General features: G+C 35.2%; 1 protein-coding gene across 5 annotated transcripts in view, besides 1 other annotated feature; it reads left to right on the top strand.

Moving 5' to 3' along the window:
- ZNF280D (zinc finger protein 280D) overlaps positions 1 to 16,018 on the top strand; it is a 103,334-nt gene that overhangs the window by 14,765 nt on the left and 72,551 nt on the right. For 2 of the 5 annotated variants that reach the window (NM_001288588.2, NM_001002844.3), the window contains exons 2-4: positions 11,439 to 11,482; positions 11,602 to 11,663; positions 14,478 to 14,624. In NM_001288588.2, coding sequence (NP_001275517.1) covers positions 11,636 to 11,663; positions 14,478 to 14,624 — 175 coding nt within the window. In that variant the 5' untranslated portion in view covers positions 11,439 to 11,482; positions 11,602 to 11,635. Of the gene's footprint in view, positions 1 to 11,438; positions 11,483 to 11,594; positions 11,664 to 14,477; positions 14,625 to 16,018 lie in introns of all 5 variants that reach the window. The other 3 variants (NM_017661.4, NM_001288589.2, NM_001002843.3) reach the window with 2 other exon arrangements.
- Positions 14,621 to 14,790: an enhancer, noted in NCBI's record as "experimental_40335 CRE fragment used in MPRA reporter constructs". NCBI's record gives its function as "activates a minimal promoter by MPRAs in K562 erythroleukemia cells, with activity observed for both the introgressed and non-introgressed 15:56996238 variant alleles {active_cell/tissue: K562}" and the evidence as "EXISTENCE:reporter gene assay evidence [ECO:0000049][PMID:34662402]".

The following is a 16,018-nucleotide window of genomic DNA, read 5'->3' as shown; positions in this document are numbered from 1 at the left end:
CAGTTTTGACTGACAAAGTGGGTAGCAGTAACTAGAGCAAGTGGTTTGCAACCTAGATCAGATTTGCAGGAGATTTTAGTTGGATGAAGAGGAAGTTTTGAAGAGGAAGATATTCCCTGTACCCTGTGTGAAAATTTTTCTTTCGTATTAAAGCTTTTAATAACTGTACTGATTTAGATTCATTGTAGATTTAAGCAGTCTGTTGAAGCATAGCCTTTCTATGTATTAATATTATATTAAAAGAATTTTGCATTTACAAAAATGTTAAAATTCTAAAAAGTTGATTTATCATGATGCTATAATATTTGAGGTGTTTGATCTGAATCTGTGTCTGTGAAGCAGTTGATTTCATTGGGAGTTTTGATTTAAGCCCTCAAACATCTTTATTAAAATGAAATTAATTTAAGATTGTTGGCTGTTACTTTTTTTTAAAGAATATACTTGTTTTGAATTAACTCAAGACTTTTGTTCTCAGTGTTGAGCTTCAACCTAACTGCTTCATTCATTATATTGTACTTGAAGGGTCTTAGAAATATTTGGATATAACAGGTTGATTATCAGATATTTTATTGCTAATTCAAAAATGAAGTTTCATAATTCAACATTTCTAATTAGAATTTTTTTTTTTACTGAAATAATGAAAAATCTTCCGTATCTTTCAGTCTAGGCAGAAATTTACATACCTCCACTAGAAGGAAATATTTTAGGGTTGGAAGGGTTCTTGAAGGGATCTTGAAAGTGAACATTTTCAGTCACATAATGTTTAAATTTTTCATATTTTTCTTTGATGATCTTTCTCACCTAGAGTTCATCTTCGTTTTTGATATTTTAACTGCTAATTGTTTTGTTCTTATATTGAGATGAAGTCTGCCTCCCTGTAATTTGGTATTCCAAATATTCCAGTATTCCTGGTGGAGGCAAATAGAGTTGTGTCTGAAATATTCAGCCTTAGAAGTGCCTGGATTTGAATCCTTGCTCCTCTACTAAGTTTTGTTACTTTGGGCGAGATACTTACCCTGTATAACTAAATTTCCACAGCTGTAAACAGGGGATGATGATAGTGTCTACCTCATAGGAGTTTTTGAGGATTAGGTGAAATAATATATGCATTTAATGTTAGCTAATGTTAATGTATACTAATTACAATTATTTTATAATTATATATTTATCATATTGTATAATTTATAATGGCGATAACATAGTAGAATGTAAGGAATGAAGTGATGTTAAAGCTCAATACTAGCAATTCTCTAGTTTGCTCAAAACAAGTAAATATTACTGTTGTTGTTATTATTACTTGAGCCACACAAAGTTCAAGTCACCTTCTTTCCTTCTTTCTCATGACAAACTTTAAAATCTCCATAAATAGCTTTTACTTCTCCCACCCTATAGTCTCAGGTTTTTTAGGTTAAATAACTTTAGTCCTTTCAACTTGACCTAGACAAAGCTCTAGTTCTGAATTCCTTGTAGTGGACATCTGTTATTTTTGCCACCCAGCATCTATTTACCCTTACTTGGTTTTCCTTTGGAAAACCATTCTTCCTCCAATCTTTATTCTTGTGCTTTTTGATTAAGACTCTCCCTCTGGTACCAGGGAGAGCATGTGATGTAAGCCCAAACCTATCACAATGCCTTAGCATTCCCTTAGTGATTGGGTTAGGGAAGGGCATGTAATTTTAGCCAAGCCAACCAACTCCAATCATAGCTGGGCCTCTTGTCATTGTCCTGGGTTTCAATATTGAAGATGGTTAGACTGGAGCTGTTATAGTCATCCTCAATGGAGATCCTTTATGAGGATAGAATCAATACAGAGGAAGTGAAGCCCAGGAATGGAGAAAGAAACCAGATTCACATGATATTGTGTGAATTATGCCTGTAGTTATTTCTACAAATGAGCCAATAAATATCCTTTTGCATAAGCCAGTTTGAGTTGGGTTTTTGTTACTTATAGTTGAAAGAATCATGGCCAATATGTAGTATTTCAAGTGGGGGTGTTGATTAGTATAGAATAGGGTAAAATAGTCTTCTCTCTGATTTAATACTCAAATTCTGTTATTTTGACACTGTGTCACAAATCTGACATCAGTCCCCACTTAAAATCCCTCAGTGGTTTTTCATTGTTCTTAGGATAAGGACAGAATTTCTTAACACAGTCCATAGGTGCTTCATTGTTTAACTCTTGTCTATCTCTATGTCTTATCTCTTCCCATGTAACTCCTTGCTTTTTTTTTTTTTTTTCAGTCACAATGGTTTCTTTGCAGCTTTTCATATTTGCTGGCTTATCTTCTGCCATAGGTCTTTTGCACATTCAGTTCCTTCTTCATGGAATCCTCCCTTCCTTCTCCTGTTTGCCTAGTTAACTCCAACCCTTTCTTCAAATAACAACTTAATTATCACTTTTCTTTTTTTAGCAAAGCCAATTTTGATTATGCTGACTATAATTCCAGGTTCATAACCTTCATAGCACTTACCATTGTCATTTTACATCTCTTTGTATGGGTGTTTGTCCCTATCTCTAGACCACAAGTTTCATGAGTGCAGTAAGTATGTATTAATTTTTGTTCATTATTGTATTCCTACCCGACACACAGTAAATGTTCAATCAGTACAGCTGTCCCTTAGTATTCATGAGGGATTGGTTCCAAGACCCCAGTGGATAGCAGAATTTGAGGGTGCTCAAGTCCCTTATATAACATGGTGTAGTACTTGGATATAACCTATACACATGCTCTCATATACTTTAAATCATCTCTAGATTACTTATGATACCTAATACAAAGTAAATGCTATGTAAATAGTTGTTATATATTTTTTAAAGGTGCATTTTTTATCATTCTTTTGTTACTGTTTATTGGTTTTGTTTCTGAATATTTCAGTCCATGGTTGGTTGAATCTGTGGTTGTGGAACCACGGATAGGGAGGGCCAAATGTGCACTTCTGGAATAAATGACCTTCTGTCATGTAGATCTTCTGGTACATCTTCAGCAGTACATCTTCAATTTATATTTTTGTTAATTTTTTTTTTGGGCAAATACAAAACTGTTACTACCATTCATTCTCTTATTGAGATCTTTTAAAGCTTCATTCCATTTATTTATTTAATTAACATATTCCTTCATTTGTTTTTAGATCCAGGGACAGACTGGGTAAAGCCTCATTCTGCTAGTTTACATGTATTATACTCTCTACTCATGCATAAATTGAATCTGCACACAGTATAGCTTTTATTCAAATCATTGCTATAAATATTGCCCTTAGTTAAGTCATTCAAGGCACTGGAATACCCTTCTTATCCCTTAACCACAACTCTATCTTCAATCACTATCATCTGTTGCATCACACACACCAAACTCTAGTGAGTGGGATTGGGAATAGGGCAGGAGAGGGAATAGGATTCTTACTTTGTACTTTATATACACTGTATGTTTGAACCATTTTCAGTAAACATGTTTTATTTTTTAAAAAAAGTGCTAATGAAAACATTTTTACTTTAAGGATTAATGCATATGTTTCTTCCATGATAGGGTATTTCCTAACCCCTGGCTAATGTGATTGCTTTTATTCAAACTCCTAACCTAGAAACTCTTAACTTTTTGGTTCATAGGCTGTTATGAGAATTTGATGCACTGTCTTATCTTTCCAGAAATTGAGTATTCACAAAATTTTGCTAACTTTTTTATTTCTATGGTGCCCCCAACACGTTATCAAGAACCTCTGCTGTACCACTTTTAGTTTTTATAATTATAGCAACCATATCCTCTTTTATAAGATATTTATGTATTCATCATAATCCCCCTAATAGGTAACTTTTTGAGATAGGATCCTTTTCATATCCTATGAAAAAAGTGTTGAGATTTGCATCTTGCATTAGAAAGAAAATAAGTATATTATTTTTCAAATTCTTAATCATTAATATTATCAAGTATTTTATTGTCCTTTCAAAGTCTTGACTGAGCTCACTAACTTGGAGAATTGTTTTGGCTTCAAGGAATCCATCTGGATTTATCTTAATTTCAGAGAATTAACGTGCTAATTCTTTGATAAGTTACCTTCAGAGAATGAAGTTTTTTGTATAAGTTAGGAGATGGGCAGGGAAAGCTGGCCTCATTGCTCTATCTTTTTATTCTTGGAAAGAGCAGCCTCTTCCAGGACCTGGATTTTCCCTATTCTAGTCCTGATCGCCTTTGAAGGCCACTTCTTTCAAGACTGAATTCCAACCTTTTCCCTTCTCTTTGCCTGTTCACTGTTAAGATTCTCAAATATATAGTCTTTTAAAAATGACATTAGATATTTTTGGTTTATTTTAAAAATAAAAACTATGGTGTATCCATATATTCCCTTTTTAAAGATCTTTTCTTCCTTAGAGTGCTTATTATCGGGAGACAATATTCTTCATAAAAATTAGAATCTTTCAGAAATTGGGTGAGATTTATCTTCTACAGTCTCTTAAGATTCTATAATCATCCCGTATTTTGTCTACAGTGTTTTAGCTGCTGATCAGGTGTTTTTAGTAATAAAGTTTGTGTGGTGGGAATGTGCCCTTTTCAAGAGTAAGACTGGTTTTTAACAGTAACAACTGGACTGATTCTGAAAAAGATACTTAGTTTTCTAACACTAAAACATTTGTAAGAAATACTTGAGGCACAAAAGGAAGTATTGATTTGAAATTTCATCTGCTTAAAGGTTGTAAATAAAAAATATAGTAAGCTAATTTCCTTATAAAATTTCATAGCTAAATACCTAAATTTTATTAAATCATTTTAATCATAGGTCTCTCCTTTAATTATATTATTGTTTATCGCTTATGATTTACATTTTCTATCACACAGATTTGTCTTATAGTGCCAAAGTAGGTATCATCATTCACTGCTTTTCTAATCCTGTTACAGTAATTTCCAATTTTCCATAATGGAATCAACAGGCAATGGATAGTAAGGGGATGTACAACAGGAGTTTTAAAAATTGCTCTTTTTACTCAAAATATTTCTTAGGATTGTAAGGTGGTGAACATTAAATAAAATTAATTTTTGAATACTTTATTGAGATAGTTGGAAGTGCTTGAGGGATCACAAAATCAGGGTTTGAAATATTAGATTGTTATTCATAGTTGAGAATTCACTTTGTATCCTTTAAGCTCTATTCATCTGAGATTGGAATTCTAAAATGATAGTCCTCCATTTCAGTATGCCATTAGTGACATAAAGACTAAAGAATTGCTTATAAAATGAAATAGAATATAAACAAAGCTGATTTAAGTAGAATGACTTAAATGCCTGATTTCTTGGAAAATTTCTGAGAGTAAAAAAATGAAAGATCAAACTTTACTGAACCAATAAGCCAGTGTCATCTAAATGATTCCACTGAAAAACTCGTTTTAAGTATATAAGTAAATTGTTAGTTTTTTTATAGATAGAACATTATCTTGAGCTAACTTTATGAGTTAGTTGAACTTCATTTTTATGTGCAATACTTATTTTGAGTATAAATTTTCACTATTTGAAATAGTTTTTTGTATCTATTAAGTTGATCATATCTTGTTTTGGTGTTGCCAACTTCTTGGTTAGTAATGCAATCCCCAATTAAAACATTTGTATGGTGGGGAGACAAAAAGAAAGATTAACTTTATAATGTGATTTTTTGGATTATTTCATTGATTTTATATCTTGAATTTATGGGATTGGGGGAGATGTAGAAGTTAACCATTTGACCGGGCATGGTGGCTCACACCTGTAATGCCAGCACTTTGGGAGGCCAAGGCGGGCAGATCACTTGAGTTCAGGAGTTCAAGACCAGCCTGGCCAACATGGTGAAACCCCATCTCTACCAAAAATACAAAATTAGTTGGGCATGATGGTGCGCACCTATAATCCCAGCTACTCGGGAGGCTGAGGCAGGAGAATCACTTGAACCTGGAAGGTGGAGGTTGCAGTGAGCTGAGATGGTGCCACTGCTCTCCAGCCTGAGCAACAGAGCAAGACTCCACCTCAGAAAAAAAAAAAAAAAAGCCATTCACCATGTTCCTCATAATCACTTTTGTGTTTTAATTACCAGCTATTTATTTATTTATTTTTTAGAAAATAAAATACTAAGATACATGTAGAATGAGTGTTTTTTCTTTTCTTTCTTTCCTTTTTTTTTTTTTTTTTTTTTGGTATGAGGGTCTCACACTGTCACCCAGGCTGGAGTGCAGTGGCCCAGTCTCGGCTCACTGCAGCCTCAACCTCTTATAGCTGGGACCAGGGGCATGTGCCACCACTCCCAGTAATTTTCTTGTATTTTTTGTGGAGATGGGGTTTTGCCATATTGCCCAGGCTGAGCTCAAGTCATCCTCCAACCTTGGCCTCCCAAAGTGCTGGAATTAGAGGCATGAGCCACTATGCCCAGCCTGAACGTTTTTTTCTTAATAGAAATGGTGTAAAGATACCTTATCTAAATGTTAATTTTTATATGTTGGTACTTTTGAATTGGATACTTATTCTATTAGATTAGTAGTATGTAATTTAACAGTGTGTTATGTTTATATGAGGGTTAAAATTTTTTTTGGTGTATATTTTAATTAGTTTAGAAATGCTTTTTTAAAAAGATGAAAATGTGGTAGGATAGATTTGACAGCCACAGTCTGGAAGATATAAAGCTAAAATTTCATCATGAGAAATTTCACTGTAATGAAGGTCATGTACCACATAATGATGTTTAGGTCAAGGACAGACTGCATTATATAATACGGTGGTCCTGTAAGATTATAATGGACTGAAAAATTCCTATTACCTAGTGATTTGTGTTATAATTGCCTGCGGTATTCAGTACAGTAACATGCTATACAGGTTTATAGCCTAGGAGCAATAGGCTATACCATATAGCTTGGATGTGTAGTAGGCAATACCATCTAGGTTTGTGTAAGTACTGTAGACTCTACGATGTTCTCACAACTACAAAATCATCTAATGATACATTTGTCAGAACTTATCCCTGTTGTTAAGTGATGCATGACCATAAAACAAAATGATTTCTAAATGCTTAGCTGATAGCACGTAAATTCCAGTATAACAGAATTGGGATCAGTTCTTTTTTTTGTTTTTTTGAGACTGAGTCTTGCTGTGTCACCCAGACTGGAGTGCAGTGGCACGATCTCAGCTCACTACTGCAACCTCTGCCTCCTGGTTAAAGCCATTCTTCTTCAGCCTCCCGAGTAGCTTGGATTACAGGCATGCTCCACCATGCCCGGCTAATTTTTTTATTTTTAGTAGAGTCCCGGTTTCACCATGTTGGCCAGGCTGTTCTTGAACTCCTGACCTCAAGTGATCCACCTGCCTCGGCCTCCCAAAGTGCTGGAATTATAGGTGTGAGCCACCATGCCTGGCCTCGAGTTCTTTAAAATGGGATTTATCTCAGAGTTAAAAATAGTTAAACATCGTTGAGTGGTTTCCATGTGCCAGGCACTGAGATGTGTTTTACATATATTATCTCATTTAATCTTCACTATAATCCAATGACATAAGTCTATTTTTATTTTTTATGTATATGTAAATGGTAAATGTATGTATAAAAAGCAGTAAAGCAAGGCACTAGGTTAACTAACTTGTCCAACATCATATTGGTAATAAGTGATTGAGTCAGAATTTGAATTTGGCATTCATTCTTCACCATGTTTTACTCTTCATGGTTACTAAATGTTTAAAGTATACAATAGATTTTGAGCTGAATTAAGCCAGAATCTTTCAGTTGAACTATAAGCCTGAGAGCTAGAATTGAAGATGACTTGGCAGAAGGTTGTGGCCATGCTGGTACTATGACTTGGTTCTCCTGGTTTCTAGTGCGATATTCTTTTTTTAAATGTGCAGATACTACAGTTGTAGTTTGTGAAATTGCTTAATTTTTTTCTTATCAGAAAGTAAAGAGGACTATATCTAGTATATAGCACACCTGTGTCCATAGTATGTGCTCTGTACTTGATCACATGCAGTATTAATATTATTTAACACGGCAGCAGTACATCGGGTGATATCTATCAATGGATGAAAGTGAAAATTTCAGATAGTTAAAACACTTAGACCCACATTTCCATTGATTTCTAATTTTTTTTATAGAAAAAATAAGATACAGTTTAATTTTAGATAAAAACTGAAACCAAAAATTTATAAAATAGGAATTATAATTATTTATGTGGGCAGTATCCATAAATGAATGGAATTTATTTTAAGTCAGTTACTTGGAATTCATTTTTCCCCCATGCAAACAGTATATTAAATATGGGCATGTAATCTGTACCTGAGTTAGTAGTTGAAGTTGAGAGTCCTCTTTTTTTTTTTTCCTGGCTATTTTATTTTATTTTTTCGAGAGACAGAGTCTTGCTCTCTTGCCCAGGCTGGAGTACAGTGGTGCAGTCTCAGCTCACTGCAACCTCCCTCTGCCTCTTGGGTTCAAGCGATTCTCCTGCCTCAGCTTCCCAAGTAGCTGGGACTACAGGCGTGTGCCACCACGCCCAGCTAATTTTTGTACTTTTTAGTAGAGACAGTTTGACTCTGTGTTGGCCAGGCTGGTCTCGAACTCCTGACCTCAGGTGATCCACCCGCCTCGGCCTCCCAAAGTGTTGGGATTACAGGCGTGAGCCGCCGCGCCCGTCCTTTTCGGGCTGTCTTAAAGAGCCAACTCTGAGCTGAGGCCTTTGATGTCTCCATTGAACATCTTTGTTGGATGTATTCTCTGGCAGCAGATTTAGTATTTATTTATTTATTTTATTATACTTTAAGTTCTAGGGTACATGTGCACAACATGCAGGTTTGTTACATATGTATACATGTGCCATGTTGGTGTGCTGCACCCATTAACTCATCATTTACATTAGGTATATCTCCTAATGCTATCCCTCCCCTCTACCCCCACCCAACGACAGGCCCCGGTGTGTGATGTTCCCCTTCCTGTGTCCAAGTGTTCTCATTGTTCAATTCCCATCTATGAGTGAGAACATGTAGTGTTTGTTTTTTTGTCCTTGTGATAGTTTGCTGAGAATGATGGATTCCAGCTTCATCCATGTGCCTACAAAGACATGAACTCATCCTTTTTTATGGCTGCATAGTATTCCATGGTGTATATGTGCCACATTTTCTTAATCCAATCTATCGTTGATGGACATTTGGGTTGGTTCCAAGTCTTTGCTATTGTGAATAGTGCCGCAATAAACATACGTGTGCATGTGTCTTTATAGCAACATGATTTATAATCCTTTGAGTATATACCCAGTAGTGGAAGGGCTGGGTCAAATGGTATTTCTAGTACTAGATCCTTGAGGAATCGCCACACTGTCTTCCACAATGGTTGAACTAGTTTACAGTCCCACCAACAGTGTAAAAGTGTTCCTATTTCTCCACATCCTCTCTAGCATCTGTTGTTTCCTGACTTTTTAATGATTGCCATTCTAACTGGTGTGAGATGGTATCTCATTGTGGTTTTCGCTTGCATTTCTCTGATAGCCAGTGATGATGAGCATTTTTTCATGTGTCTGTTGGCTGCATAAATGTCTTCTTTTGAGAAGTGTCTGTTCATATCCTTTGCCCACTTTTTGATGAGGTTCTTTGTTTTTTTCTTGTAAATTTGTTTGAGTTCTTTGTAGATTCTGGATATTAGCCCTTTGTCAGATGAGTAGATTGCAAAAATTTTCTCCCAATCTGTAGGTTGCCTGTTCACTCTGATGGTAGTTTCTTTTGCTGTGCAGAAGCTCTTTAGTTTAATTAGATCCCATTTGTCAATTTTGGCTTTTGTTGCCGTTGCTTTTGGTGTTTTAGACATGAAGTCCTTGCCCATGCCTAGGTCCTGAATGGTATTGCCTAGGTTTTCTTCTAGGGTTTTTATGGTTTTAGGTCTAACATTTAAGTCTTTAATCCATCTTGAATTAATTTTTGTATAAGGTGTAAGGAAGGGATCCAGTTTCAGCTTTCTACATATGGCTAGCCAGTTTTCCCAGCACCATTTATTAAATAGGGACTGCTTTCCCCATTTCTTGTTTTTGTCAGGTTTGTCAAAGATCAGATGGTTATAGATATGTGGTATTATTTCTGAGGGCTCTGTTCTGTTCCATTGGCCTATATCTCTGTTTTGGTACCAGTACCATGCTGTTTTGGTTACTGTAGCCTTGTAGTATAGTTTGAAGTCAGGTATCTTTCATAGAATTCTGTGCTTTACCAAGAAAATTCTGAAGCCAGTAGATACTTACCTGATAACTTAAAAACATTATGTATGAGTCCATAGGATATGTAATTGTGAATCTTAAAAATATTCCGTGTTCCTGGTATTGATAAGTCCTTAATGTGAAGCAAGGATTATCACGTATTTATCTGAAATAAGCATTATACTGTTGCTAGTGGGACAAGCTACAGCTATTCAAAAATTGAGTTAAAAGATTTTTAATAGTACAACTTTAGAACTAGGGGATATTTAGTTAAGCACAAGATTCGCTAGAGTCTCATGTGATAGTAACTCTGAATAACTGAATTAATAACAATAACTTCTGAAATTAAAGTAATAATTTTTCCTTTGTAGTAATTCAGTTTACATACTTTAGAAATTGAAAAGTAGGAAAGCTTGCTTTTGTCAGCCTAAGGATAAAGAGGAAAGTGAAGGTTGAATTAGTTATATATTCCAGTGTTTTAGATTTCCATTGTTTAATTGTTGACGTTTTTTGCTTTATAACTCAGTTTTATAAAAGCTTGTTTATTTTGTAAAATTCATGCTATTGCGTGTGCATGGAAATTCAAAAAACAGATTCCCAGTTTGAATAAAGCAATTCAAATAGTTTTTAAAAAAATGTTTATTCTAACAGCATTTTTAAAGCCAAATAAATTATTGACATACTAGATTGTAAACTTCTGAAGTCTTAAGAATGTGACTTACTCATTTTTGTTTTCCCCTGAGCTTAGCACATTACCTTCCATACAGAAGGCCATGAGTAGTTATTTTTTGAATGAATTAATCTATGATGAAATATTTCCAATGAATTTTCTGTTCCCTTTCGGTTGATAAAAAGCCAGAAAGATATAAACTAAAATTTGTTTAAAATTGTGTTTTCTTGCAGAAATAATTACATGTATTTCTGAAATACAAAGAAAAGATAACGTTAAAGATTAATGTCACTCAGCGTTTGAAAAGTTAGATTTCCAAAACCAGTACATTGTAAGGTGTTTACTCGTTTTTACTAAATACTTTAAAAAATTATTTGTAATTTACAAATCATCACATTTCTTCGAGTATTAAGTGCCAAGTATAATCACCATTTATTTATTAAATTTGGGTTTATTCAGGAATGAACCAATTATGTAAAATGAACTATATGTGTATATCAGATATATCAAACATAATTGACCTCTGTATAGGAGAAAAGATTAAATATGTATACATCTAATTTAATGAAGTCCACCCTAATAGTTGGTATCTTTATTTTATAGGAAGGAAAACAGAAATAACTTGCTGGCTTGTCTGGAGTCACATGGTGAGTTTAGAGGTTAACCTTACATCCAATAATTTGTGAATCCCAAGTTTCATGTTTCAATATTTGGTGTTACTTAAAGTGACTCATTAAATTGACTGATATCATGTGTCAGTACTTAGGTGACAATTTACAGAAAGTCATCTCTGCAGCTTGATGGGCGACAACCCTTTTCAACCAAAAAGTAAGTGTTGCTGCCACAACTAATACTAATATATGTGGCTTTTGTATCACTTTACCTCAGGAGAAAGGATGAAAGTTGGGAGACATTTTTTAAAAAACAAAAATGCTTAAAATTGTTAAAGTAACAAATGTTCACATAAAAACAAGTAATATAAATAAAAAAGTGAGTAAAATAGAAGTGTTTTCCCCCATTATCAGAAGAAACTACTTTTACCAATTTGGTACATATAATCATACATGTTTCTTCTGTACATAGACAAAAATTAAATTATTTCTAAAAAAATTATAAAGCTATTATGTCTTAAATTTTTTTTTTCTCAAAAATATGTCCTGGGTATATTAACAATGACAGTGCCCTGTTAAAAAGAACAAGGAAGACCTTTGTATACTATATGAGTTTGCTAGGGCTGCCATAACAAAGTACCACAGATTGGGTGGCTTACACAATGGACATTTTTCTCATAATTCTTGAGGCTAGAAGTCCAAGATGAAGGTGTCGTTAGGATTGATTTCTTCTGGGGGCCATATGGGAAGGGTTTGAGGCCTCTCTTCTTGACTTGTAGATGGCCATCTTCTCGTTTTTTGTTTGTTTGTTAGTTTGTTTTGAGACAGATTCTCACTCTGTCACCCAGGCTGGAGTGCAGTGGCATGACCTCGGCTCATTGCAACCTCCTCTTCCTGGGCTCAAGTGATTCTCCCGCCTCAGCCTCCTGAGTAGCTGGGACTACAGTTACTCGCCACCACGCCTGGCTAATTTTTTTTCTATTTTTAGTAGAGACTGGGTTTCACCATGTTGGCCAGGCTGGTATCGAACTACTGACCTCAGGTGATCCGCCTGCCTCAGCCTCCCAAAGTGTTGTGATTATAGGTGTGAGCCACTGTGCCTGTCCTCCATCTTCTCCTTACATCTTCCTGTGATCTCCTTTTCTGCTTGTGTCTGTGTCCTAATCTCCTCTTCTATTAAGGACACCAGTCATACTAGATTAGGGCCCACCCTACTAACCTTATTTTAATTTAGTTACTTCTGAGGACCCAATCTCTAAATATAGTCACATTCTATGGTGGTGAGGGTTAGGTCTTAAACATATGAATTTTGAGAAAACACAGTTCAGCCTATACCTATACCAACTGGATATAAATAATACTTTTGTTATTACTATACAACGAGTCTCCCTGATTGTTTAAAATTATGCATTTTCTGACTTCGCCTAGTCCATAGATTATTATATGCCATGTGCCTACTGCCCCTCTAATGTATAGGGGGAAATGTATTCCTATATGACGTTAGACATATAAAATTAAGACACATGAAAAAATAGCAGTTTGAGATCGTATATGTTAAATCTTGAATTGCATGATATTGATTATCAGTGTAGTTCAGATTTTGAAGGAAAGTAAAATCTAATGGTTTACAAGAGGAATTATAATTGAACCAAGAGTTAGGAGGGCCAGGGAATTAATATTTTGTTGAGTATCCACTTGATTTTAGGTGCTTTATGTGGCATTTTCTTGAATCTATGTAATACTTGTATTAGGTAGATATCATACTTGTGTTATAGATGAGGAAAATAGGTTCAAGTAACTTCTCTAGAGTCATATGATTAGAAACAGTGGAGGAAAGATTTGAATTATTCAACTTGATGTCAGCTCTCTGCTCTCTTTGCTCCAGACTGGAGTGACATAGATTGTAAAACTGAGAAGGAAAGATATTCTAGGTAGAAGACGTGGTATAAATAATCGCTCTGAGACACACAATAAGGCTGGTATTTCAAGTATTTAAAAAACACAAATGCTAAGTTATGACTTGTCAATGAAAATTAGTATTTTTAATTATTAGATTTGAAGAACTCTGTATAATTAGTAAAATAGTACAGTTTAGAGAAAAAAGTTTCATGATATTGATGGCATTTAGGAAAATGGGAAGGCCTTTTTTTTGGTAGATGGACTATACTATAACATTAGAGTGGGAAATGATTTGTGACATTCTTCCTGTGAGAAATATCTACTTTGCCTTTAATTGAATAAGCCTAATTAGTTTTCCATATTCTATTCTAGCATCTCTTCCCTGCTGTGTTCTGTGCCTGGCATTTTTTTTTTTAAAGACATACTCTCAATCTGTCACCCCTGGCTGGAATGCAGTGGCATGATCTCAGCTCACTGCAACCTCCACCTCCTAGATTCAAGCGATTCTCCTGACTCAGCCTCCCAAGGAGCTGGGATTACAGATGTGGGCCACCATGCCCGGCTAATTTTTTTCTATTTTTAATAGAGATGGGGTTTCACCATGTTGGCCAGGCTGGTCTCAAACTCCTGACCTCAAGCAATCTGTCTGTCTCGGCTTCCCAAAGTGCTGGGATTACAAGTGTGAGCCACTGCTCCCATCCTGCCTGGCATTCTTGAATCTGGTTTAGTTTATCCAGTTTATCTCCCACCTGTTGCCTATTATTCTTAGTTTATCTGCCTTTTGTGAATACATTTTTAAAAAGACAGTGGGTATAATCCTTTTTGTAGAGATAATCATATTCTATGTATACGACTAAAACTCACTTTCACTGAATTTGACTTCCAAATTTTCTGTCTACGGTAAATAACTACTGTCATTGATTATCTGTTTATCTAAATTTTACTATTTAATATTTTAGATAGTAAGCTCTGTATTTCTCACTGTTGTTACCACATACTGACTACAAATATCAATTCAGAAATTGCTATTAAGATTATTAAAGTACACCTTAAAATTAATGCTATGTATTACAAAAATGTTTTTATTTTTATTTTCAAAAATGAGGTTTACTTCTCTCCTTTTGAAAATTAGGTAATTCAAAAATGGCAGAACTGTTTATGGAATGTGAAGAAGAGGAGCTGGAACCATGGCAGAAGAAAGTAAAAGAAGTTGAGGATGACGATGATGATGAGCCAATCTTTGTTGGCGAGATATCAAGTTCAAAACCAGCAATTTCAAGTAAGCATTTACTTTTAGTGAAACCAAGCTTTATAAGGTATTATTTCTAGTAGAAAAACTTGTGAACTGTTTAATAGGTAGTTGATGTTCATGTTCCACTGTAAAGAGGAACATGATTGGGGACTTGAGGAAGGAGGTAAGAGATTAAATATCAGATGTCAGAAAAGAGAAATGGACTGAGATTAGCTGGTGACCCTGGAGGTCTTCTGAGATTAGAAATCATAATTTTTAATGGAGTTAAGTAATTATTTATTTATTTATTTATTTTGAGACAGGGTCTCACTCTGTCGCTAGTCTGGAGTGCAGTGATGCAGTCACAGCTCACTGTAGCCTCAACCTCCTTGGCTCAAGCGATCCTCCCACCTCAGCTTCCCAAGTAGCTGGCACTACAGGCATGTGTTACCATGCCTGGCTAATTTTTGTATTTTTTGTAGAGACAGGGTCTCACCATGCTGCCCAGGCTGCTCTCGAACTCCTGAGCTCAAATGATCCACCTGCCTTGGACTCCCCAAGTGCTAAAATTACAGGTGTGAGTCACTGCACCTAGCCTTAAGTAACATATTTATCTGTTTATTCTTTTTCATTTTTCTCCAACCCAGAAGAGAAAATAAAACATTTGGAATGCTTTGCTTAAAATTTCAGAATATACTAAGTGAGTTTTTGTTAGTCTCAAACGGGACTTCTCACATCCAGTCCTCACTGCAATGTCATCTATACGTGGCTACAAAATGTATAGGTGGTGAATGATTGCACAGACTCTGGCCTGTGTACCAATAGAAGCTGCAGCTTCTGACCATATCCGTCTTCCAGCAACTCCTTTTTATATTCATGAAAGAGAATGGCGCTGTCTACAGCCACTGTACTTGGATGATGTAGCATTTAGTACATTTAAATCCTTAAGGCTTTTGGGCAGAACAACTTGGTACCTTTGTGGCTTATTAGCTTTGAATTAGAGAATTGGGCTTGACATTGTTATAATATTAACGTGCAGATACTGATGACATTTGTTAAAATGTCCACTCAAAAATGTATGACAGTGCAGAGAAACAATGTACAAATTTCAGGGAGAAAGAGAAAATAGATCCTTTTCCATTTCATTTACTTGTTTGTTTGAAGCCAGGAGAATTTACCAAAGAATTTTATGTACCCAGTTTACCAGCGTGTGTGTGTGTGTGTGTGTGTGTGTGTGTGTGTGTGTGTGTGTGTGTGTTTACTTACCATGGTAGTGCTTAAAAGTGTGATTAAGAGACCAAAATTTTTTGAAAGCCTAGTTCTTGCTTCACTTACCTCTAAACTTGGATTGGCACCTTTATTCAGTTTTATCAGAGAGAGAGTAATTTCACCAATCGAATTTTCAATACTGTTTCCTGGGGCACATTGGTCATCTCTCATGG

This window comes from Homo sapiens, chromosome 15, assembly GCF_000001405.40.
Source record: "Homo sapiens chromosome 15, GRCh38.p14 Primary Assembly".
Classification (NCBI taxonomy): domain Eukaryota; kingdom Metazoa; phylum Chordata; class Mammalia; order Primates; family Hominidae; genus Homo; species Homo sapiens.
Note: the sequence above shows the minus strand (reverse complement) of the source record. Positions and strands in the feature narration are given on the sequence as shown.